This window comes from Homo sapiens, chromosome 10 (genome assembly GCF_000001405.40).
Source record: "Homo sapiens chromosome 10, GRCh38.p14 Primary Assembly".
Taxonomy (NCBI): domain Eukaryota; kingdom Metazoa; phylum Chordata; class Mammalia; order Primates; family Hominidae; genus Homo; species Homo sapiens.
The window spans coordinates 103,786,371-103,812,042 of NC_000010.11; the positions used below are offsets into that span (position 1 = coordinate 103,786,371).

At 50.1% G+C, this 25,672-nt stretch overlaps 1 protein-coding gene across 2 annotated transcripts in view, besides 5 other annotated features; it reads right to left on the bottom strand.

The window, feature by feature from the left end:
* SH3PXD2A (SH3 and PX domains 2A) overlaps positions 1-25,672 on the bottom strand; it is a 261,550-nt gene that overhangs the window by 192,344 nt on the left and 43,534 nt on the right. For both annotated transcript variants that reach the window (NM_014631.3, NM_001394015.1), the window contains exon 2: positions 14,912-14,992. In NM_014631.3, the coding sequence (NP_055446.2) occupies positions 14,912-14,992 (81 nt within the window). The remainder of the gene's footprint in view (positions 1-14,911; positions 14,993-25,672) is intronic.
* Positions 3,417-4,417: an enhancer, noted in NCBI's record as "H3K4me1 hESC enhancer chr10:105549545-105550545 (GRCh37/hg19 assembly coordinates)". NCBI's record gives its function as "activates a minimal SCP1, AML or CMV promoter by ChIP-STARR-seq in naive H9 embryonic stem cells {active_cell/tissue: H9 hESC(naive)}" and the evidence as "EXISTENCE:reporter gene assay evidence [ECO:0000049][PMID:30033119]".
* Positions 13,901-14,402: an enhancer, noted in NCBI's record as "H3K27ac hESC enhancer chr10:105560029-105560530 (GRCh37/hg19 assembly coordinates)". NCBI's record gives its function as "activates a minimal SCP1, AML or CMV promoter by ChIP-STARR-seq in naive H9 embryonic stem cells {active_cell/tissue: H9 hESC(naive)}" and the evidence as "EXISTENCE:reporter gene assay evidence [ECO:0000049][PMID:30033119]".
* Positions 14,632-14,711: a silencer, noted in NCBI's record as "silent region_2790". NCBI's record gives its function as "represses an Ori minimal core promoter by ATAC-STARR-seq in GM12878 lymphoblastoid cells {active_cell/tissue: GM12878}" and the evidence as "EXISTENCE:reporter gene assay evidence [ECO:0000049][PMID:35858748]".
* Positions 17,403-18,246: an enhancer, noted in NCBI's record as "NANOG-H3K27ac-H3K4me1 hESC enhancer chr10:105563531-105564374 (GRCh37/hg19 assembly coordinates)". NCBI's record gives its function as "activates a minimal SCP1, AML or CMV promoter by ChIP-STARR-seq in naive H9 embryonic stem cells {active_cell/tissue: H9 hESC(naive)}" and the evidence as "EXISTENCE:reporter gene assay evidence [ECO:0000049][PMID:30033119]".
* Positions 21,367-21,868: an enhancer, noted in NCBI's record as "H3K4me1 hESC enhancer chr10:105567495-105567996 (GRCh37/hg19 assembly coordinates)". NCBI's record gives its function as "activates a minimal SCP1, AML or CMV promoter by ChIP-STARR-seq in naive H9 embryonic stem cells {active_cell/tissue: H9 hESC(naive)}" and the evidence as "EXISTENCE:reporter gene assay evidence [ECO:0000049][PMID:30033119]".

Sequence of the window (25,672 nt, forward strand, 5' to 3'; positions counted from 1 at the left end):
AAAAGGGGGAATGTTGGGGGGCTGTGGCTTGCACCTTTAATCCCAGCTACTAAGGAGGCTAATGGAGGAGGACCACTTAAGGCCAAGAGTTTGAGACCAGTCCAGGCAACATAGCGAGACCCCCCATCTCTACAAAAAATTTAAAAATTAGTCCAGCACAGTGGTGCACACTTGTACTCCCAGCTACTCAGGAAGCTGAGCTGAGAGGATTGCTTGAACCCAGGGGTGAGGCTGCAATGAGCTATGATTGTACCACTGCACTCCAGCCTTGTGACACAGTGAGACCTCTTAAAAAAATAAATATAAAATAAAAATAAATTTTGAAAAATGGGGGAGAGTGGTGGTGCCTACATCCCAGGGTGGGCTGTAAGCAGTTCAGGGGTGATCATGGAAAGGACATGGGGCAGGGCCTGACACAAAGCACGTGCCAACACTGGTTCCTACGGAGAGTCCCCCCAGCCTGAGGGGTGACCCCTGCTCCCCAACCTCCCCTGCCTCAGGAGGAGCAAGTCAGGTTTGTCCCTAAGCTCCTTCCTTCCTTCTTGCCCTTCCTGAGCTGAGGAGAAAGTGCAGAGGTGAGAGAAGCCCTTGGCCGCTGGGACTGAGGTCACCTGCAGGCATCACCAGCAGCTGTGACAGGGAGCTCCTCAGGCCCTAGGGTCTCCTTATCCCAGCACTCCACAGTTCTGTCCAGCTTTGCATCCGATTCACTTATCAAGCCTATCTGAACTCCAGACACAGGGAGCCTGCCCTAGACAGTCAGATTCAGGAGGCTGCTGGGGAACAGGAATCTGGATGCATTTTTAATCTGGCTCGCAGGTGAACCCAGATCACAGGTGATTCTGTCACCCATCCAGGGCACAGGCCCATGGCTCCAGCCCGCACCCTGGTTCTTGACTACACAGCCAAGAAACCCAGGTATTCCAAACTGTCCCAACTGCCAGACTCAGGCAGCAGCAGACTTTTCTCAATATGCACCAAATATATATATAAAGCAATGGATAGAGTCTCCCATTTTGGAGTCCTCCTACACAGTTTTCTTAAAACATTGGCACTTTGCCAGACTGCCTGGCCCCAGTCTCTTCTGTCTTGGTCCCCACCCTGTTGCACTGCTGGATGGAGTGGGGGCAGGCACACACAGAGGGGTTTCCCTCCACCCTCCCACTGGGGATTCCTCCTCAAAGGTTCCAAGATGAGCAGTGAAGCCCTGGGAAACCCAGAAAAAAACCAAGCCTGTCTCCCTGGGGAGCAAGGCAGGCTGGCCTCCGCCAGGGCTGCCCTCGGGAGGTGCTGCCGGGACTGTCTCAGCAGGAAGAATGGCCCTGGCTTGTCACCCACCCAAAGACCCTCTGCCAGCATCTTAGCTCCAGCCCAAACACCAGCCTCATTCTTCCTGTTTGGCAAAAAACAAACAAACAAAAAAAATCTTTTTGAACAAGGTATACCTAAATGGACCACATTCCTGGGCTCTTCCCGAGCCCCTCAGCCAGCACTGAGCACAAGACTGCCAGGGTGGATGAACCGGCCACTTTGTTTACTGAGCACCAGATCAAGGCTCCATAATTAGCAGATAGAGCCAAACCCTGGTGGCTTTGGGGTCTGTCTCCTCACCAGCCCCAAAGCATTGATTTACTGCAGCTTGGAGGTACCCAAGACCCTTCTGTGGCTGGGAAAAATGTTCCCCTAATCCAGGCTGGGCATGCATTCTGTTCACAGGGAGGATCGGAGCCCCTTCCCCTCTCCAGGGATGCCAGAGGCAGCACCAACAATCTCATAATAATAATGCTTCACCGCTGCTCCAGCCATGATGGCAAGGCTTTCCTGAGGCTCATCTTCACATCCCACAACAGCTCTATGGGACAGGCTCTGCGAGTACAGCCATTTTGCAGATGGGAAGGTGGAGACTCCTGGAGGGTAACTCAGGTTCACACAGCTGGTAAAGGGGCAGGCCAAGGCGCAAACCCAAATAAGTCTGGCTGATAACACAGCCTGAACCTTCCATCTCTGGGAGATGCTGCCCTACTTGGAAAGTTGGGAATTTGGCACCAGGACTCCCACAAGTCCTTTGGAGAGCCTGATGTCATCCATCTGTGGAGGTCTCTGGGAGATCTAAAATCTTTTTTCCTTGGCTTCAGCTAAATTGAGGATATAAAGGAAAAAGCTCCAATATCCCAACTACTCCCACAGTGTTCCAATCTAAACTAGTGTCCCTGAGGCCGGGTGCGGTGGCTCACGCCTGTAATCCCAGCACTTTGGGAGGCCGAGACGGGCGGATCACTTGAGGTCAGGAGCTCGAGACCAGCCTGGCCAACATGGAGAAACCCCGTCTCTACTAAAAATACAAAAATTAGCTGGGCATGGTGGCAGGCACCTGTAATCCCAGCTACTCTAATCCCAGCTACTCGGGAGGCTGAGGCAGGAGAATCGCTTGAACCCGGGAGGCGGAGCTTGCAGTGAGCTGAGATCACACCACTGCACTCCAGCCTGGGCATCAGAGCAAGACTCTGCCTCAAAAAATAAAATAAAATAAACTAGTGTCCCTGAGACACAGGGATGGCAGCAACTGAAATCATCAGGAAGCTGAGGTCCAGCCTGGGGCGGGGGCTGCTGATGAGGGAATCAATGCAGCTCACATCTCCCGGTCACCACACTGGTGGCAGATTGCCTCCCAGAGGGACGAATAACTCTATCTTCCCTCAGAAAAGCCCACAGCTCAGGCTCCCATAGCTTACCAGACTGCCCTACATGCCTCATTCCAAAAGAGTCAAAAACAAAACCAGCTGCTGCCATCGTCAGTGGGGGAGGATGGGGGGGGTAGAAGGACCAGGATGTCAAGACCTTCAGGCCCCAGATCGAAGCTGCCCCCACAAGCCAAAGGGAATGCCCACAGCATGCAGGCATGATGCAGGTGGTCTACATCCTGGGCTGCCCACTTAGTGCGGCAACACCCGTTCTGTGCATTCCACCCTCATGCTCTGCCAGCTGAGGGCTCTTTCACCCAGGATGACTCTGGATTTTCCCCTTAGGGTCCCCAGCACCATGCATGGAGTCAGGCACGTAGCTAGTGCTCCTCCAGAGGTGCCAGGAGGCACTTGAAATTCCCTCCAGCAGGAAGAGAGTGACCTGGTCACACCTGAAGCTTCACAGGGTGTGTATACGTACACACACACACACACACACACACACAACACTCACCTGGCCACCACCAAAGATCCCCCTTCCCTTCATTCTCCAGTTTGGAGGGGGGCACTGTCACCCAACACACTTTCCAGACAACTTTCCTGTTGGTTATCCAAAGAGGGGTAAGATGAAGGCCCAGTAGGGGCAGAGCTGAATTTTCTAAGTTGGACCTTTGGGCCTAGGAGCAGAGGAGGAAGGAGGTGGCAGAGGCTGCAACTGCATTCCAACGCCTCCCTGACGTGACACCCAAACACACCCTGACATGACACTGCACACCAGGAAAACAAGGTGTGCAGCTCTGAACAGTCATGAAGGTGGTGTGAGCTGACTCTGACACTGCCCCTGGCAAAGCTGGGGTTTATTATTCAACAATGAGAGAGGCAGGTGACGGTGTGCAGGAGATGTGGGCTGAGCTCCAGGAAGCAGCTGAGCCTGGGAGGGAGCCACCAGCGACCTTTCTGGGATCTAGAGAGAAGTCTTCAGCTCTTTGCAACGGCAGCTTCTCTCTAGGCAGAGTGAATGGTTCCCCACCCCTCCCTCCAGGCACACTCTCAGTGAGGCAACAGAAGCTTCCTGCCCTCATCAGCCAAAAACAGAAAGAGGACTTTCTTTTTTTTTTTTTGAGATGGAGTCTCGCTGTGTCGCCCAGGCTGGAGAGCAGTGGTGCGATCTCGGCTCACTGCAAGCTCCGCCTCCCGGGTTCAAGCCATTCTCCTGCCTCAGCCTCCCGGGTAGCTGGGAATACAGGCGCCCGCCATCACCCCTGGCTAATTTTTTTGTATTTTTAGTAGAGACGGGGTTTCACGTGTTAGCCAGGATGGTCTCGATCTCCTGACCTCGTGATCCACCCGCCTCGGCCTCCCAAAATGCTGGGATTACAGGTGTGAGCCACCGCGCCCGGCCCAGAAAGAGGACTTCTGAGTGGAAGGCTAGGAACTCAGATTGGAGTGAGCTAGAAGCGAGAGTACCAGAGTTCTAGTCCTGCTGTCACTTGCTGTGATCTTGGACAAATCACTCCCTGCTTGGGACCTCATTTCCTTGTCTGTCAAATAAGGGAAATGGGCAAGATCAGAGGGCGGCCAGTTAGTTTCATCTCAAGGTGCCATTGCCAACTGATAGGTAGTGACTTCCTAAAGATACTCGGTTTTGTTTTTTAGAAAGACTCTGAGACCATGTCTGGGCTCGTAATCAATTAACAATGCCTGCCATGGGTACAGGACAGGAGAATGCCATGATCAATTAGTGATGTCTGCTGTAGGCATGAGTGGGAGATAGCAACATGAGTGCCAGATACTTGTCATCCTGCTAGATATCTCTAAGGGCTTCCTGGTTGGAAAACTTATAATTCCACCACTGATTTCCCAGCGGACATCGTTAACATCAGTTGACAAACATGTACCTCCCATATTGTGCTATTTGCACACAGCTGATTTCTCTCCCTGAAAGGGACATTCTCAGCCCTGCTGGACAGTCACTGGGGGAGCAGTGATGCCCCCAAGGCTCCTAGCACTCACACTCACAAGACGTCACCCAGAAATTTAGAGCCAATGAACAGTGCCAAGGACTGACACCCAGAGGACATTCCAGCTTCTTACAATTTTCCCCAGTTTACAAAAGAGCTTCCCCCGCTGTATGAAAATCCCACATTGACCCCATGGAGAGGCTGGGGGTGCAGCAAAGGGCGGAGATGGCTTTTGATTTTCTACTGCACAAATGAGGGTCTGATCTGACAGGGCCTTGAGTCCATTAGGAATAGGATTTGGCCAAACACCCTGTGAACACCGTGAATACCCTGGGCCTGGATCAAATGCACACAACCATCCAAAATGAGGCTCACAGAGCGAGTCCTCAACTGTATAGGAAAGGTGTGATTTCCCACACAGACCCACAGCACGGTGCATATCTGACAACTCCCAGCGGCTTCAGTGTCACACAAGTTCCCCAGCTCTCTTGATGTCCACAGGCTCTGGCTGGGTGGAGAGTTCTCCTGAGGGCAGGCCCCGAGGCGGTGATTCTCAGGGCCTGAGCTCAGCCCTCTGGGTCTTATTTCCCTTTATGCATAGATGTGCAGAGACCTCTCCTAGATGCTCTATCCCCGCTGCCACCACCTTCCTTCCGTACCTCTCTCCATCTGCTTGGAACCAGGTCCCGAGTTGCTCTGGACCTGAGAGGCCCCCACAAGCACAGGGGTCTTCCTAAACCCACAAGGTTGGGAAACTGCACGAGAAGTTGCAAACTCCATCTGCTTAAAGGGGAAAAAAGATCAACCCAAACTTTTCCCAACACCCTCCAGCCGGACCCAGGTAACCCCAGGATTCAAACTCAATGGTAACTGGCTTTCCCATCCTGAGCCTGCCCAGAGGTGCCAGTTCACCCTGGTCTTCCTCTCCCAATATTCCACAACTCCCTCACCTGCTAACAGGATCTGCCAAAGGGGAACTCAGGAGAGGCAGGAGGAAGCTGGAGTTCATACTCAGGCCACAGGCACAAGTTGAAAGGGGCGCTGGAGCCCAGCCAGCTCCCAGGTGGAGCGGAGCCAGCCAGGGAATCCCCAAGAGCCGATGGAAGCCCCACAAGGCTCCCCTGGAACCCCTATGTGTTCCTTCAGGAATCAAAGATGCCTCTTTCCAGGAGCAAGGAAAAGCTGTCAACTAATAATTACTTTTTAAAAAACAATGTTTTCCTAACAGCATTGTTGGAAGGGAAATAGGTTTGTAGTTAAACTTTGAAGGTGAAAATCATTTATCTAGAAAACCTTTAACACTGCCTTCTGCCTCTCTTCCCTGGAGGCAGGCCGAGCTATTTGGTGAAAGTGATGTCTACATTAACGGGGCACAGGAAGAAACTTCTGTCTCTAGATGGAGTGGGGCTCTCTGGCTTTTTGGAGTTTTAAGCTTCTGAGGGCCTAATTGGTGACATTTCAGCTTACCTGTCTGGCGTCTCTGTGCCAGTCCTATCCTAAGGGCTTTCTTTATATGGACTGTGTCATTTTATTTTTCCTGTTACCCAGTGAGGCAGTTATTACTATACACCCATTATACAGATGAGAAATCAAGCACAGAGAGGTTAAATCACTCATCAAAGCTTAGACAGTAAGCGCTGGGGCTGGTCTTGAAACCCAAGTGCCCTGGCCCTGGAGCACATGCCCTTAGCCACTGTGCCCCAGCAACACACAACTCTGAGTACAGTTTCGTCATGACACAAGAACCCCCACCCAACTGCTTCCTGCCTCAATATGTAGTTTGCAGATTTTGAGTAATATCTGAATACAAGATTCCAGTTGGACAAGATAATTTGGACAGGTCCCTGGGGTTGGTTGTAATGGGATCTAACCAGTTTACATTCCACAGGAATGATCTAGAATGATGGTCCAGGAAATATGAGGTAATGTGATTTTTATAATGAGTTTCATGTCCTCCTTGTTAGACATGTTCTTATGTTTACTTTTTTCACCTGTGCTTTCTGTCCCATTATACCATAATGACCAGGAAAGACATATTTTATTTTTGACTTCCCACCAACCCTAGCTCCCCCAATAGGTGACTCTTTAACTATTCAATATTAATGTTGCAAATAATATATGAATGCATTCTCCTTTTCTAAAAGAGTAAAACATTAAGATAAGGTTCCCCCTTTATCAAGCCCTTCCTCCTACTGATATCCCTAACCCCCATCTAGAGATGAGTCGGATACCAATCTGGAGTACAGCCTTCTAGATTAAAAAACATTTACATTCATATGCTGGATATGTACCTGCAAAATATAAATCTTGTTCTTGGGTTTTTTTTTATATAATTATTATCATACTATAAGTACTGTTTTGAAACTTGCATTGTTTGTTCAGAATGTTTCTTGGAGATCCACCCATGGATCAGTCTCATTTGCTTTGACTGCTGTACTAAGTGCTGTGAGAATATCACAGTTGACTTAGCAACTCTGTATGGATGGTCTTTTAGGCTGTTTCCCATTTTTGCCATTGCAAACAACATGAGGCTGTCTGTGCCTGCCTGGGACCAGTGAATGACCTCAGTCAAGGCTGATGTTCTCCTCTGTCTAAGGCATGTGAGCATTCACAATGACCCATGCTCAGCACATTCTGGAGCTGGCACTGCCACACCAGGTGTGCTGGAGCTCTCTGCAATCCTTGGTACAAGATCATTCTTAGAACTTAGCAGGTTACCTCCCCAGGCTGTGGCCTCATCGCTTTAGTCTAGGGTCAGTAATCTCGAACAAATTCCCTCAATGATTAAAAGGCAGAGTGCCTGCGGAAGAGACATTTCCTCCTCTTTTCTGCTTTCAGGTTGGTTCTTGGCACACACTGGGATCACCCCAGGTTGATCTCAGCTGAGGCCTGCTTTGGATATTAAACCAAATGAAAGCTTATATAAATTTAATGAATAGAAAAATTAACACAGTTTGTTACCTGCAAAGTGAGGCACTTGGAATAAGAACTCCTCTAACTCTAAAAATGCAATGATCCCATAAAGCTCCGTAAGTGACATCAGTACACACCCACACCCATATACACATTCATTCCAAGGCTGGTTGTTAGTGATTCAGGAATTATAATTTTTCCACCCATCATGAGGTGGGCTGTTGGGGAGCTGGAAAGTGAGTGTGACCCCAGGGTGGGGTGCATGGGTGGAGAGTCTGGAGAGATGAATAAGGAATAGAGAGAAAAGCTTGTCAAAATAGGTTAAGTCCTTCAGAGCCAATGAGCAAACCTGAACAACCCTCTTAACTCTATCTTCCAAGCGGTGCAGGGGAAAATAAAGGGCCTCTCCCAGTTCTGATCAAATATTGACCCTGTGCACTCGCTGGCCAGAGTTCAGACTAAAGCAATAGCAGCATGGTGGAGTCGGTGTTTGCAGAGCAATTACTGTAGCCCAGCGCTTTGTAGGTCAGGTTGTGAAACAACCGTCCATGGAGCCAGGGCTTCAGAGAGTCTTCCGGCCCCTCCTCAGTGGGACCAGGAAGGAGCTGTGCAAGGAAATAGACAAAGGCTGGAAACGTGGTCCAGCCACCCGTGAGAAAGCAACTGAAAAGGGCATCTGCCGCCCCTCCTCCCACCTCAACTGCACCTCCAAGCAACCCAGGCCCTTAATCACCAAATGGGCCTCGACGTTAGGCCCTGTCCTGGTCAGCTTTCCCTGGGACAGGTCCTTTTCCTGGTCAGATAGGGCTGAGTGGTGAGTTATTTTTAGAAGAAACCAATTTCCACTTGGAGACTAAGAGCCTCACCTCTTCCCTGTTCTTAACTTCACATCTGAAAGGCTCTTAGAAGCCCTCTCGGGAACCTGACCTGGTTTCCAGAAGAAGTGTTTGGAATAGCCGCTGAGCTGAAAAGCCCTAAGGATGGGCAAACTGTGCAGGAGAATAATCTCCCTCTTCTTGCCAGGGCCCTAGAAGATTTCAGGGGGCAACTCAGGAAGGGGCTGGGAGGTGACAGATCACTGTAGGGTGGCCAGAAAGCCAGCTCAAGCCTGTTGTGTGTTCAAAGTTGTCTAAGCTACCAGTCTAATAGAATTTTCTGTGATAATAGAAATGTTCCATATCTGCCCAATACACAACCACTAGCCACGGCCGCCACTGAGTACTTGTGATCTAGCAAGTGCAACCAAGGAACTGAACATTTACTTTTATTTCATTTAATTTTTAAAATTTAATTTCAAAAATTTTTAATTAACTTTAATTTAAATAGCCACATGTGGCTAGTGGCCACCGCGTTGGACAGTACAGCTTTAAAGCCTCCGTACCTGGGGGTTCTAAGTGGGCAGCCCCTGCGTGTGAGTCTGGGTCTGAAGGCTCGTGGCAGGAGATATGGGGAGAGAAGAAGGTCTGGAGAAGAGCAGAGGGTGTTATCCTGGTGCTCATGGATGGATTTCAGGCAGGGTATGGATAACCAAAAAGGTTACTAGAATTACAGGTGCACATTCATGCACTTGTCTGGGGAGAGAGTCTTTGGCTTTCATTAGAAGCATAAAAGAGTCTCTCATCTCAAAAGTAAAATAAGATAAAATAACTCACTGATGTGTCAGATAAAACTTACTTCTTCAGGAAGCCTGCCCTGATCCCAGAGTATAAGGTTTCCCTATAATATGTCTATGGCACCTTCCTTTGTTACATCTGGAATGGTGTAAAACAATATTGTTTGTCTTTGTTTTTTAACTAAAATCTGTCTTCCCTCACTAAGCTGTGAGACCCATAAAGGCAGGAACCAGATCTGCTTTGGATCATCAATGTGTCCCAGAGCTGGCACACCGCCTGGATGTACAAGGCAGACACTTAATATTGGAAGGATGGGAAGAAGGAAAGAAGGAAGGGAGGGAGAGAGGGAGAGAGGGAGGGAGGAAAAGGAAGGAAGGAAGGAAGGAAGGAAGGCAGGAAGGAAGGAAGGAAGGAAGGAAACCAGAGACATATTTTACCCTGATAAGAATTCTCAAAAAACAACCAAATCCCCCCAAACTAGAGTGTGGGTGTTTGGCTATGTCACCCTAGGCTGCTGTCACTAATTAAGACCATATGGGGGCCGGGTGTGGTGGCTGATGCCTGTAATCCCAACACTTTGGAAGACCGAGGCGGAAGGATACTTGAGCCCAGGAGTTTGAGACCAGCCTGGGCAACACAGTGGGACCCTGTCTCTACAAAAAATAAAAAAAAAAATTAGCTAGTCATAGTGGCATGCATCTGTGATCCCAGCTACTTGGGAGGCTCAGGCTGGAAGATCTCTTGAACCTGGGAGGCTGAGGCTTCAGTGAGCCATGATCACACCACTGCACTCCAGCCTGGGCGACACAGCGAGACCCTGTCTCTAAAAACTAAATAAATAAAAGTAAAAAAAAAAAAAAAGAGAGAGAGAGAGACCATATGGGCATCTTCTTTGTTCCCTCTCCCAAGAATGCTCTTTCCTTCCTCTTCATCTCATAGCATGTTGCTTGTACCTCAATCTAGTATTTAGTTCATCTACAGTGGACTTAACTGTTTCCAAGTTTGCCTTCCTCACGAGATGTAGACTCCTGGCAGGAAGAGACCTTGTCCTTCTCAAAAGTGTGTTCCTCAGCCTGCGCCACTTCTGCTCTGTACAAAAGCTGCTGCCTGGGGGGCCTCAGCACAGGCCCATCCACTCTTACCCGGAGCCAGCCTGGACTCTCATCTTTCTACTTCCACCCTCGCCTCTCACACTCAGCCAGGCTGGGGCTCCCAGATTTAACAAGTGAAAATACAGGATGCATAATTAAATTTGAATTTCAGATAAACGACAAATAACGTTTTTTAGTGTAAGTATATGCCATGAAATGTTTGGAACATCTTTTTTTTTTTTTTTTTTTTGAGATAGGGTGTTACTCTGTTGCCCAGGCTGGAGTGCAGTGGCGCAATCACAGCTCACTGCAGCCTGGACCTCCCCGGCCTCAAGCAATTATCCCGCCTCAGCCTCCTGAGTAGCTGGAACTACAGGCACATGCCACCACACTCGGCTAATTTTTTTTATTTTTTGTAGAGACGGGATCTTGCCGCATTGCCCAGGCTGGTCTTGAACTACTGAACTCCAGCAATCCTCCCATCTTGGCCTCTCAAGGTGCTGGGATTACAGGCATGAACCACCACGCCCAGTGCCCACACTTATTCTTAAAAAAGCATTTGCTGTTTATCTGAAATGTAAATTTAATTGGACATCTCATATTTATCTGGCAACCCTAATCCAAGACCTCACAGGTAGCAGGTAAGCTGTGAGAGAAGAAGGTGGGTGGTGGGATGGGAAGGGGACGCTGAGATAAATGGCTCTGCTCTGCACGGTCCTAAGGCTTCAGAAAGCGTGGAATGAGCAGTTACCAGGTGATCGGTGGCGGGGGGAGGTTCTCTCCATCTCTCCCAACCCTCTGACTTTCCCCATTTCCGGTGAACAGCTCCTCAATGCACCATCAGAGTTCTAAGTACCCTGTCCTTAATGCCATGAGTCACCCCAAAGGGACAAGGAACCTTCTCCAAGGACAAGCCTCAGGCTCTTGGCTCCCTCCTGCTTGCTGTTCTCAGGGCTGGTGTGTGCCTGAGACTGTTCATTTCCAAGGATCTACATGCAGGGCTTCACATGCAGGGCAGTTAGGTCCAGGCAGGAGCTTTGAAGATAATAACCAGAGAAATGTTCTGCTTCAGATCTTAGAATCTGGGAGGGGGTGGGGAGTGTGGGGGTGAGGGGGTGGGGAAGGGCTGTGCTGATGTGGAAGCTACTGTGGAGAGAAATGGAAAAACCAAAGAGTGTGGGGTTTCTGTTCAGATGACAGAGCACCCTTCAAGTGCTTCCTGGCCTCATGGCTGCAGAGTGTGAAGGGCAGGGTGCAAGTGTCCATCTCCCTGTGTGCTCCCAGAGGGAGAAACAGAGGGTCCATGTGCTGTTCCGAATGAAACTGGATCTGTATGGCCCTCAACTCATGACCAGAGAGGGTCAGCGACCGCTTGGGATCGCTTTGCACGTGGTTCCCGGGCTGTGTGACACAGGTGGGAACCCGAGGCCGCCTCGTGGGTGCCTGGCCTTCGGGAACAAAGGAAAACATCTGAAGAGGGAGACATAAGGGAGGGGAAGTACGGGGAGACCCACGCTGGGGTGCAGGGAACCAACTTGTACAGGGGGGAACCAAGGGTCTATCAAAGGGGTCAAAGGGGTGTCCAGGCCTCCTGTTGTTATCTGAATAGACCCCCAAGTGCTGCCCAAGTAGTACCGGGTGTGAATGTATGCTTCACGACCTAAACTGGTTTAGCTCAGCAGTTCTTTTTGTTTTTTTGAGACAGGGTCTCACTCTGTCACCCAGGCTGGAGTGCAGTGGTGCAATCATAGCTCACTGCAGCCACGACCTGCTAGGCTCAAGTGATCGTCCCACCTCAGCCTCCTGAATAGCTGGAACTACAGGCACACCATCGCACCTCGCTAGTTCTTCACTGGGGGTCCACAGGGGGTCTGTGAACACTTGCCACTGCAAGTAAAATTGTATGTATCCACTCTTTTCCTGGGGAGAGGGCTTCCATCAGATTCACAGAGGGGTCTGTGGCCCCCAGGAGGCTTAGAACCACGAGTTGGTGAAACCCGGGGAGCAGCTCCTTGGAGGTGGGCCTGGTGAGCCTGGGACTCTCAGAGTCAGCCAAAAAGGAAAGGAGCAAAACATTTCTGAGAGCTGCCCCTGGGCCACACCCCAGCTCCCAGCGGGCTCCCACCCTGCCCCAGAGGACAGCTTCAGAGAGGAGCCTGAGGCCTACCTGGCTCTGAATACGCCGGCAGGGACTGGGCACAGGGAGCTCACCACAGAGTGACGCCAAGTGAGGGAAGCCACAAAGCAACATCAGTGAGTGGGTCTCCAGCCCCTAGACGCCCCCCAGCCATGCAGCCCAACATCCCTGCAACCTGCTAACACCAGGCAACTCACTAGGCAACTAAGTGTTGGGAGAAACGTGGATTCACTCATTCATTCCTCCTAACAACCCTACCGGGCAGGCAATTTGAACCTTCACACTACAGATGAGAAAAGCAAGCCTAGAGAAGTGAAGGAGCCTGTCCGGAGTTACGTGGTGACAGCCAGTAACCGGTCCCAGGGAATGTGCCCCCAGTGCCTAAACTCTAAGCTGCTCTCTTACACAATCTCTCAGGGACATGAGTTCTGAGGTGCACCAATGACCAGAGATGGAGTTAGCAACTCCCTTTGTTCTTCCTCTATAGGATCCGCCATACCAAAATCAGCGACCTGATAAATAAGCAAGGCTTTTCAAAATGAACGCCACTAAAACTCATCATGGCAGGTAAAATGGGTTCGTAAAGATGCTATGCTTGGCTCATAAGTTAATTTCCAAAGAACGATTCCAACCCCTTCCCAAACTGCATCTACAGGTCAGCAATGACCCACGTGGACAAGCCTGGCCAAGCTCATGGCCATTGCCAAGCTAGGGCCAGCACACTGCACTAGCTGCTCCCTGCTTGCGTATCCCCTTTCCACACACAGGGAATGAGCCCTCCAGGCAAGGGAGGTGGTGGTGGGGGAGCAGCATTCCTTTCTCCTGAGATTCTGCAATGCAGGAGTGGGTGGGGGACCATAAGGGAAGAGGGGGAAGAAAAGTTCTGATTTGGAAGTTTCCACTGGCTTTCAGGCCCCCTCCAGCTCATCAATGAGTCCTTTCAGGGTTCCCTCTCCCCAACTGAGTTATCACTTCCTGTCCAGCACACTGCACCCATTGATGGGGTATCAGCAAACCCCACCAGATTACACTGGAATTAAGGAGACTGGACATGAATTGAGGAGGGAAGAGGAAGAAGGCTGGAGAGTAGGGAGTGGCTTTCAATCCCATATTCAATGGGATATTCAATCCCACATTGTTGGATTAAGAAAGGATTTGTAATACAGGAAGCTAGGTCACCCTTGGCTTGTCTCATAGGTAGGGCAATGAGGACAATGAGATAGAATTAGGTATTGGGGGCAAGCACACGGTACCCAAGATGACCTCTCCAAGATGACTGACAACCAAAGGCCTGCCAAGAAAGGAGTGGACCCTGGCTGTGAGGGTAGAAGTGAGTGTCTCTTTGTGTTTTTATTGGCCTAAACCAGGCTCACAACCCCGAGAGGAATCTAGAACATCTTGGCTCTACCTGAAAGGGCTGCTGCTCAACTCACACTGATTCTCCCTTCTCTAGTACTTGCCTGTGATCCGCAGAGGTGGGCTCCCTAGTGGCCATGTCTGTGCTAAAAGACCCTCAACTCCCAGCCATACTGATTGGTCCAGAGAGGGCATCTGACCCAAGCCAGACCAATCAAAATCGTCCCTGGGATTTTTCAACTTGGAACTGGGAGTCAATTTCCCCTCTGTTGGGAGCCAAAAGATATAAAATTCTAGAGCTGCTGACAGCCATATTCCTCAGGGTGTGAGGTAACAGAAGCTGAGGGCAGTGCCAGAGGGAAGCAGAGACAAGACAGAGGGAGAGCAGATCCTGGTTTCAGGCATTCCTGAAGCCTCTGCCTCACTGCCCTTCTCACCATGTGGTCGGCTGCACAAGCTTCCCTGGTCCCTCCTTCCAATCACATCTCCTTTGTGTCTAAGCCAGTGCAATTGTAAAACTATCACTTGCAACCCAAAGAGGCCTGACTAACTTAGCTGGCATCAAGGGGGGTGTCTGCAGGGGTAGCTGTGGGACCCATACTACCATTCCCTTGTGAACATGCCTTTGTGTCTTAGAGACACACACCTACCACGTACATGTACAAACTGGGTGGCAAGTGCCTCATTCGGTCAGACAGACACCGTGGTATGTATGCCTAGTTTGTGCCTGTAGTTGAAAAAATTGCTTATTTTCTGTTTCGGTCTTCCCTGAGTGTTTGCTTTTCTTTGCCTGCAATGATGCAGTGGCTTCTGTCTCACCCTGGATGTTTATAGACACACGTCTGGTCAGGCACACAGCACCTCCCACCATCCTCCCGCCTCTTCACCACAGTTTCCTACCCTGCAGGCAAGGGAGGGTGACAAAGCGTTACTGTTAAGACCATCAGAGGAGGCCAACAAAGTCCTGAGTGTCTGCCTGCAGTATGCAAGATTGAGACGAGCCCAGCTCCACCTTCCAGCTTCCCTCCTCTGTCCCTCTGCTCCCACCTGGACTCTGACCCTGACAGCTCTCTTGGGGGCTCCCTGGATAAGCGAGGGTATGAGAGAGGCCAGCCCACCAGAGAGACTTGGGCCACTGTCCGAGCTCTGACAAACTCACCTGCAGGTCAAAGAACTTGCTGTACCTCCGGTAGATAGTCTGGGAGGTGGAGTCAGACCAGGTCACATTGATTATGTATACCTGTGGGAAAAAGGTAAGAGCAGGTGAGCAAGGCTGGATTTCAAGCTGTCTGTGCCAGGCATCATGTAACATGACTGCAGGTGTTCCATATGGCAGGACCACTCTTTTACTCATCTCATCTGTCCCTAGGGGCTAGCACAGTATCAGCTACCATGTAGATGCTACAATATATGTCTAAATACACACACACACACACACACACACATACCCCTAGAGGGATATTTCATCAAATGCCAACAATGATTATCTTAGGAAAGTAGGATCAGAATGAGTGGTTTTAATTTCCTTCTTTTTATTTGTATATATTTCATACAATAAACATAAAATTGAGGTCACTACATTTTTGTTTGTTTGTTTTTGAGACAGAGTCTCATTCTGTTGTCCAGGCTAGAGTGCAGTGGTGTGATCTCGGTTTACCGCAACCTCTGCCTCCCTGGTTCAAGCAATTCTCCTGGCTCAGCCTCCCGAGTAGCTGGGAATACAGGTGCCTGCCACCATGCCTGGCTAATTTTGGTATTTTTAGTAGAGACGGGGTTTCGCCATGTTGGCCAGGCTGGTCTCGAACTCCTGACCTCAGATGATCCACCTGCCTTGGCCTTCCAAAGTGCTGGGATTACAGGCATGAGCCACCACGCCTGGCCTTTTTAGATAGCTAATTTCCACTGGTTCACAAACTTTAGAGTGAATGAGACTCTATAAGAGGCCCTCCGAAATTGCAGGTGGACCCCGCTCTCTGAAATTCTGCAGACCTGGGTTTTGAGGGCTCGGATGTTTACACTTTTAACAAACCCCAGCTTGTTTTGCTACTGTGGATCCTCAGAACTCACTCTGAAATGCCTTTCAGGAGACCAGAAGTGCTCAGAGATGTGTGATTCATCTCAGCATCCCTGTCTTTGCTCAGTGCCTGGCACAGAGCAGGTGCTCAGAAAACACTTTGCTATGTTGAACAAACACACTGGTCTTCTGGATGAGAAACGGATTTGAAGAAGAGGCGTTAGCACGTGGGAGACTGGAAAAACTTTTCTCTTTGGGAGCCTCACAATGAAGGCATTTCAGGGCCAGGCTGTCACCCCGGTTCCCAAGTCTCCATCAGGCTCTGCCAGAGCTCATGCCACTCTGGAAGGCTGAATTGACTTAGGAATCCTTGGAGAAGGAGAGAAAGCCCCCAGTCCACACAATCTGGCCTGCTCTTCCCACTATTTCTGTCCTTCCTGGGAAAGGCCTGAGTTAGAGGAATGGGTGCCCTCCCACAGCCTCAGGGCTTTTCTGTTGAACTTCTCCCTGGGAAGGACACCTGCAGGGGTGTCTCCAGGAGGACAGTTAAGGGAGGGCACTGATAAGACACAGGTAAGACCTCTGCCCCCTTTCCTCCCTCAGGAGAGAGGCAATGGCTGTAGGTCCTCAATGGTGGTTCCCAGGCCAGGGTGCCCTTTAGGATCACCTGGGGCCGGGGGCAGGCTTCATAAAAATTCAGATTCCGGGGTCTCTGCCTAGTCACTGTGTCCTGTAGGTCTGTAGGGGTGGGGCTGGGGGGACTCTACCCTAAGAATAAAATAGCCAGTGAGGCCAGGGATCTGGGCCAAGATGAGGAGGAACGTTAGCAAAGAGAAGTGGCATTTAGACACCTTGCCATCAGACTGGCCCACCTCCCAGGTGCCTGGAACAGGGTTTGCCACAGGCGTGGTGAGGCTTTGTGCTTGGCTGCTCCGGTGATACACAGGAAAATGAGCTGAATCCAGTCTCTTCTCCCTTCCTATCTCTATGACACAGAGGCAGACTCATGCCATGGCGAGTTTTTTCTGAAACGCAACCAAGGAGAGGGCCATAAAGCCAAAGCAAACAGGTCTGAGTGCTGCCACCCAGAGATGGGGCATTTATGACATGTGGCCCTGATACAGAACATAAGGTAAAAGGCCACCCCTATCTTCATCAGCTCAAAATAGACTATTGGCTATTATTATAATAAATGGGGGTATGCTTTGCTTTACATCATATGTAAATAGGTATCACATGATACATTGTAAAACCATTTTGATAACTTAATGTTACCTAATGTTTAAGCAACTAAATGTAACTAGTTACCAGTACAGCATAAAGCATGTATATGCATTAGCTCATTTAATCTTCAGCCCAATAAGGTAGCTACCACTGTTATTCCCATATTGTACAAGAAGAAGGTGAGGCTCAGAGAAGCTAAGTAACTTGCCTGAAGTTACACAGCTAATAAATTACAGAGCAAAAGATTTGAACCCAGGTCTAGCTGAGTTCTAATACCTATGCTCTTAACTGAACTGGACTATCTCCCTGTACATAAATTTATCTAAACTGAACTACTTTGATCAGGACTGAATGACATTGTCTACCAAAAAGTATCTGAAACAAGTCTCAATCAGTTTAGAAAGTGTATTTTGCCAAGGTGAAGGACACACCTGCGACACAGCTTCGGGAGGTCCTGATGACATGTGCCCAAGGTGGATGGGGTACAGCCTGCGTTATACATTTTAGGGAAATACAATACATCAATCAATACATATAAGATTTACATTGGTTCCATCTGGAAGGGTGAGACAACTCTAAGTCGGGGACGAGGGGCTTCCAGGTCATAGGTGGATTTAAACATACTCTGATTGGCAATTGGTTGAAAGAGTTACTACCATTAGAAAGGAGTGTCTGGATTAAGATAAGGGTTTGTGGAGATCAAGGTTTTATCATGCAAATGAAGCCTCCAGGCAGCAGGCTTCAGAGAGAACAGATTGTAAATGTTTCTTATCAGATCTTAGGTCTGCATTGATATTGATGCTGCAGGAGTATAATGAATCATGTCTGATCCCCACTTCCTGTCATGGCCTGAACCAGTCTTTCAGGTTCAATGTTAGGGTGCCCGGGCTGAGGAGGGAGTACATTCAGATGGTTGCAGGGGGCCTTCAAATTTTATTTTTGGTTGACATCATCTTTTTTTTTTTTTTTTTTTTTTTTTGAGACGGAGTCTGTCTCTGTCGACCAGGTTGGAGTGCAGTGGCGTGATCTCGGCTCATTGTGACCTCCGCCTCCCGGGTTCACGCCATTCTCCTGCCTCAGCCTCCCAAGTAGCTGGGACTGCAGGCACCCGCCACCACGCCCGGCTAATTTTTTGTATGTTTTAGTAGAGACAGGGTTTCACCATGTTAGCCAGGATGGTCTCGATCTTCTCACCTCGTGATCTGCTTGCCTCAGCCTCCCAAAGTCCTGGGATTATAGGCATGAACCACCTCATCTGACCGGTTGACACCATCTTTTTAAATAAAGGTGTGGGTGGTCTGAGAAGCCTGCGGTGCTCTTGCTGAGGGAGTGCACCTTAGAGGAACATGCAGGAACAAAGGCGCCTTCTAAGAGCCTGAGACCAAGAAGACACAGAACTGGGGGCCCAGACAGAAGCAAATGGTTAGGAATGCTACAAAACCGACTGACGGTGAGGACCCCCTCAAACTCAATGCTGTGGGATTTTCCTGGGGGTTATTACCTACCCTGGTCCCCCTGCTGACTCCTAGCTCCATCTCCCCTCCCACCTGCATCTCTGCTTCCCACAGGCCCTGGGGCAGGAGCAGAGGCTGAGCCCACACCAGGTGCTGTTTCTCTGACCTCCACCCCAGGAGCTAAATGTGAGGAGGGCCCAAGAGGCCAATCCGCCCCTGGAGAGAGGGCTGCATTCGCCTGCAGGACATTAGACATCAGCCTTTCTCCGGAACCAACCAAGCGGAGCCCAGGGGAAGGGCTTAACTGAGGCTTAACACACATCCTCCATCCCACTAGCAATTAGGCTTCCCTTCACCTCCCAGAGAGAATCAATCACAGGCTCACAGCCCCTGGCAGCTGGGAGGATACAGGGAGACCTCTCCTTTAGCAGAGGAGAAACCCAGGGGCCAGGGTGGTGATTTGCCGAGGAAAGGGCATGGCCAGGTAGGAAGCAGCAGACTCTGGAGTTAGCCACATGTGGGTGCAGCACCCTCCTTATTGGCTGCAAGACCCCAGCCCAGCCGCTCAGGCCTTCAGACTCCTTCTCTATACAAAGGACACAACCTTCAGGGCTGCCAGTACTGATGAAAACATGGTTATCACTGGAGTGTGCTCACATCCATTGGTGGCAGAGCTGGGACAGGAACCCAGATGTCCCACTTCCCAGCCTAGCCTAGGACTACTCTGCACATGACCAGAGCATCCCCCCTCGGAAAAGTTCTTTGCCCTCTACTCTTCAGAAATGTTGAAAACTGGCAGGGCATGGTGGCTCATGCCTGTAATCCCAGCACTTTGGGAGGCCAAGGCAAGAGGACCACTTGAGCCCGGGAGTTTGAGACTGGCCTGGACAACACAGTGAGGCTCTGTCTCTATTTTAAAAATAAAAGGGCAGGGCGCAGTGGCTCATGCCTGTAATCCCAGCACTTTGGGAAGCCAAGGCAGGAGGATCGCTTGAGCCCAGGAGTTTGAGACTGGCCTGGACAACATAGTGAGGCTCTGTCTCTATTTTAAAAACAAAAATTGAAAATTCACACGAAGTCATCTCTGTTTAACCCTTGGCCTAAAACCATACTAAAGATACACCCCGCTGGAGAGCCAGCCAGAGGGAAGAGCTGACAGAGAGCTGTCCTTGTGGCCCTTGCCGGCCACAGCCACCCGGCTAGGATACAGCCACACTTCCCCCTAAAAAGCAGTTCTTTCCTTGTTTGGCAAAGGATTGTTCCTGCTAACATCTTGCACCCTACTTTCTATGCCCTGAGCAGCCATGAATGTGACTCAGTGTGAAGGATGGGGAAGCGAGCCCCCATTCCCAGGTTCTCCCAAACTTCGGGGATTTGCCAGAGGCCCCCCAGCCTACCCCCCTGGACAGAGTCTAAATCTTGGGTTGAGGAAATAGCAAGAGACCTCCCTGGAGATAAGCCCAGAGATACGAGGACAATCTCCAGACCCCTCTCTCTCGTCTGCTTTCTTCCAAACCTTGGACATCCTAGATTATCACTCCAGGCGGGTGATGGACACACAAAATTCCACCCCAGCCCATGCCTAGCTCCCAACCTCAACACCAGAGCTTCTTAAGTCTCCCTGAGCTGGCCTTGCCAGCACTGGAAACTTCAGAGAGAAACCACAGAGAAAGAACAGGTGACAGGGAAGGGGGACAGGGCAGAGGTCATCCAAGAAAGCCAGCTCTGTTTACAAGCCTGCATCGGGGGCCCAGATAGACTCTCCTCCAGCCTCAGGAGCAGTCAAGATAACATTACCCGGCAGCTGGGTCTCAAGAAAAGTTTGGCAATTAAATATCCTGCTTCCAAACGCTTTACTTGGGGTTATGTTTCACGGGTGGAGTTTCTCTTCCTTCTGGATTTTAAAAACCCATGGATTCTATTTCCCCTGTCTCCAGCCATTTCAGGCAGATGGTAGGCGTCTATGAAGGCTCGCTAGAGGCTAGCAACTGCTTCCAGCTTCCCCTGGGTCAGTCCAGACTGAGGGGACCCAGGGGCTCAGGCCCTCCCACCATGCTCACTCTTGATGGAGGAGTGGAATCATCACCACAGACACTGCGTGGGAACTCTCGCTACACACCCAGCGCAACGCTCTGGCCCAACCAGTCCCACCCATCCAGAGGTCATCTTGGGCTGCCTTCTGTCTGCTCAGCTCACAAGGCCCACCAATGTCTGAGGTTTCCAAAATCGCCTTCCCAGTGGGTGCTTCTGTCCTCTATTAGCCTTGCTCCTTTCAACAAGAAAATGGCCTTGATGCAAACCAGACTTACAGCGCAGCTCCAGAGCACTGAGAATGAAGCCTAGCCCATTTCTGTGGAGGGATGTCCATGATTTGATCTGGTCTGGGACCAATTAGAAACTGCAAATACACAGCCCAACCATTCCTAGAAGGCCTAGGACCCGCCTTGTGTTTAATTAGAAAGTGCTGGTAAGTACCTGTTGCCCCCTTGGCTACAAAATGTACAATGAGAGGCAAGGAGTTAGGAGCTATGGAGGAAATTGCATATCTCCATGGTACTGTGGTCCCATTTACTGAGGAAGGCCTTACTTTCCCTGGACTCCTACCAGCTGCCCCTGGCCCCAGGCCCCAGGCCAAACAGAAACTCAATGGCAATCTTCCTTCACTTGCTCACATGACCATGGGGCTGGGATCAGCTGGCTGCACTAGGGCCATTGTATACAGTTGGGCAAGTTGTTCACTGCCCAGTGGTTGCCTGGTCAAGTGGACATGTAGGTGTGAAATCTAACCTATACTTTACATCCCAAACTGTGCACCCTGGCTCAGGACTGCAGCCACGCTGAGAAAAGTGTGCCTTATTCTAATGTACATGCTCCTTGTTCCCCTGGGTGGGCTGTCAATGCTCTCTAGGGTCCTTGAGGTCATACGATCTCTTCAAGACCCTCAGCTCTTTAACTTACCCAAATCTTCGGAGTCTGGGGATGCAGGGATAGCTAACATTTGGGACTGACTGCTAAAGCATATGGTCCCAGAAATCAAAATGAACACGATTGAGCAGCCAGAAAAAGGGAGTTCACGTGTGGGGACACGATCACCGCTCTGGCTTCCTGGTGGAGTTCATCATTGTCAGGCTCTTACCCAAGAAGATGCTGCCAGCCCGTCTAAGGTACTAATAGGCTCTAACCTTCTGTTCAAAGTGCCCCCATGTACAAGGTTCTATCATGGGGGGGTTGGTAAGAAGGAGGCACATATACTCCAAATTAGTACAGGCTGGTCCCCTAGATGCAGCCCACCCAGCAGAGCAGAGGACTCCAGGGCTGCAGCTCCCCATGAGAGTGCCTACATCAAACGCCGGCCCAGAGCCCCATCTCCTCCCTGCTGTGGCCCACTGCACACCACCGGGAAGCAGTAAAGGCCCTGGTGTTAAAGACCCCTCTTTTTTTTTCTTTTTTTTTTTGAGACAGGGTCTGGCTCTGTCACCCGGGGTGGAGTGCAGTGGCGTGATCTCAGCTCACTGCAACCTCCGCCTCCTGGGTTCAAGAGATTCTCCTGCTTCAGCCTCCTGACTAGCTGGCATTGCAGGTGCCTGCCATCACACCTGGCTAATTTTTGTATTTTTAGTAGAGACAGGGTTTCACCATGTTGGCAGGCTGGTTTGTAACTCCTGGCCTCAAGTGATCCGCCCACCTCAGCCTCCCAAAGTGCTGGCATTACAGATGCGAGCTACCATGCCTGGCCTAAAGACCCCTCTTGACATGGCTGCACCCAGATAAAAATTTCCCCAGACTTCCGACATCTGATCTGGACCCCCACTAGCCTGGCGAGTCTGTGACCATCCCTTGTGGTGCTCATAGTATGCTTTCCATGATTAGTCAATTATTATATCTGCCTTCGTTTGCTAATTGTTGGCTCAGAACACCCAGCTTGACACAGGCTGTGTTGGTCTCTATTCAACACAGGTGAGTCTGTCTTCCTCCCAGGTCTCCCTATCCATGCAAACTATCTTCCTCTTCTCCCCCGAGGCTCACTAGGCCTGCCAGTCTGCTGGACACACTGAGATAATGACTGGCTGATCTAATGCCAATCAAATTCACTGGCTCTGAAATGCCAAAGAGGTGGCTAGTAGCAACACTTGGAGACTGTCCCCATTCCCAGAAGCAAATCCCTGGTGGCCTAGGAGCAGAATACAAACACATCTTTGCCAACCTAAAACCCTGCCAGCAAAATCAAGTTCAACAGCCTGTGGCCACTTGGCTAAGGTTTCTGAGCTCAGCCTGAGAACGATGAGGACCCTCAGGGTAGGGCCCTATTAAAATTCCAACCCCTCCTCTAGAGTGGGTGTTCATTCTTAGGGTGGGGAGAGAGGTGACGCTGCAGATTTGGGGAACAACCACCACTTAGAAGCCTGGATGTAGTGGAGGGTGACCTCCATGGTAGTACACACTCACGGGTTGACTATAAGGCTAATGACCAGGCAGCAGGACTTTTCTAGTCCTGAGACCATCTGACAACAGGACTTTGTATTCAGAATCAGTCATAGTAAATGCAGCAGAAGCGAACCCCAGAAGGGCTCTGGGAGTTGGAGGGGGTATAATGTGCTAGGAGAAGGTTCCTCCCAGAACCACACATCCACCAGTCGCCTCCAAAACACAGACGCTTCTACTGCAGACCTGGGCCAGATGGACCTTCTCTGGGGAAAAGGGTTTTTAAAAGAGACTCAGAGGAGGGGACAATGGCAAATGCCTCTACAGTAGGGAGCATCCTTCAAGAGTGTGTAGCAGGTACCCATCACACTCAGTGCCTGCCTTTGTTTGCAGGAATCATGGGTCTCCTTTCCTCCTTCCCTCTCCCTCCCTCCCTCCCTCCCTCCCTCCCTCCCTTCCTTCTTTTGAGAGAGAGTCTCGCTCTGTCATCCAGGCTGGAGTGCAGTGGCGCCATCTCAGATCACTACAACCTCCACCTCCCAGGTTCAAGTGATTCTCCAGCCTCAGCCTCCTGAGTAGCTGGGATTACAGGCGTGTGTCACCACACTAGGCTTTTTTTTTTTTAGTATTTTAGTAGAGATGAGTTTTACCATGGGTGGCCAGGCTGGTCTTGAACTCCTGATCTCAGGTGATCCACCCGCCTCAGCCTCCCAAAGTGCTGGGATTACAGGCATGAGCCACCTCATCCGGCCCCACTATTTATTTAAATGGGAGGGTAATGAGTAGGTGAGAGGGTCTGGAGGAAGCCTCCCTACTGCTGGAGCCTCTACTTATTACCCTGCAGAATGAAGATCACAGTAGTTACCTTTTGGAGGCTCTTGTGAGGATTCAGGGAGCTGACTCTGTGTCTCCTTGTTAGAATGGAAGCCTCCTGAAGGTGGTTGGTGGCATGCTAGTGCCCAGCACCACACTTGACACCTAAGAGATGCTCACTTACTGTTCCCTTCATCAGTGAAAGAACAAAGCAACCAACAAATATCCAGTGAGTGCTGACCTCGCGCCTGGTTTAGAGACAAGCTAAAGAGAAGATGAGGCAAAGCATCCAACCTCCAGGCCCTCACAGCCCAGCAGGGGCAGTGGGACGCACACTGACAAATCACGGAGGGACAGTGCAAGATGAGTAATGGAGTGCCGAGAAGTGAGCCTCAGAAGGGACCAGAGGCCGTCTTGGCTTCACACAGGAGGAAGATGACTTCAAATTCAAATCTATCCACTTGATGGATTTGAATTTCAATCCATACATGTCCCTGCTACGTGGGCTTAGGCAAGTGTCTTAGACCCTCTGAGTGAGGGTTTCCTTTGCTGCGAAGTGTGGTTTCTAACGGGAGTGTCTCGTTAAATGTGGTGATACCCATGGGGCACCGAGCACAGGGCCTAGCAATGTGCAAAGTGGCCCAATGAATGTGGGCTATTTAGACACTCAGGAAGTGAACTGACTTCTTCCCATTTGCCGTGAGACTTGGATCATGAGGCTATGACTAGAAATAGGAGGGGAGCAGGAAGTAGGGCACAGGGACACAGACATACACACAACACACACAACACACACACACAGACACACACATACAGGGACACAGACATACACAGGGACACATACACACAGAAACATGGACACACACACACGGAGACACACACATGGACACAGGCGCGCGCGCGCACACACACACACACACACACACACACACACGGCAGTGGTGGAACCACTACTAATACCAAGGCCAGCCTGGGAGAGCAGAGGAGCAAAAAATAGCTCTGCTGCCCAGGGCTGGGAAAACAATGACGGTCCCCAGGAGCGTCCGCTGAAAGGATGAACGTGCTGCGGTTGGCCCCTCTGGGGCTGGACACTTTTTCTTTTCTTCATGTTTCCTGGAGGGGAAATGAGTGTATAAACTAGGAACTCCCAGGATTCACAATCCTACATGGACCTTTCAAAAGTTAGGCAGTCACAGCTCTGTCCTTACAGCCCCCAGAACGAGAAGAAAAACAGTCCAAAGAGTCAGCTCCGCCAAACCTTCTTACACGCACAATGGGATTGATTGATCAGGAGTAAAAGAAACACTAATGGCCATGCCAATGTATTGAGTACTGACTATGTTCCAGGCATTGCTAAGCACTTTGTTTGAATTATCTCACTTACTCTTTACAATAGTCCTATGAGAAAAGTGTTGTTATCGTCTCCAGTTCATAAGTGAAGAGACTAGGGCCCAGAGAGGTAACTGGTCTACCCGAGGTCATCATATTTGTAACAAGTAATGAAGCTCAGATTCAAATGCAGCCATTCACTCTATATCCTGAACTCTTTGTCTTCTTTAATAACGACAGCAGACTGCCTGGAGCAAGACAGAGTCCCTGCCACAAGATTTGCCTTGGTGGCTCAATTAGCTCTGTCAGTTGGTGACAGAGACAATGATCTATCTGTCAATACTGAGGCCGCCCATGAGGCAGGTGGCTAGGGATCCTTGCGGGGATCAGCACTCTATTTTGCATAGTTTAAAATCAATCGGATCAATTTCATGAAAAGTTATTATTCTCTCTGAGCCTCCATACCCCATAAAATAAACACATAAAATAGTGTTAAGAATACCTGCCTCACAGTGAAGATTAATGAGAACGCAAGAACAACCACAGTGCCTTGGACACTGTAGGCGCTTAATAAATGTGACTTCCCTTCCCCTGCAAAGTGCCTAGCACAGTCTTTTGCACTTATGAATTTTAGTCTCTTCCCCTAGAAGATTCTGGGGCACCA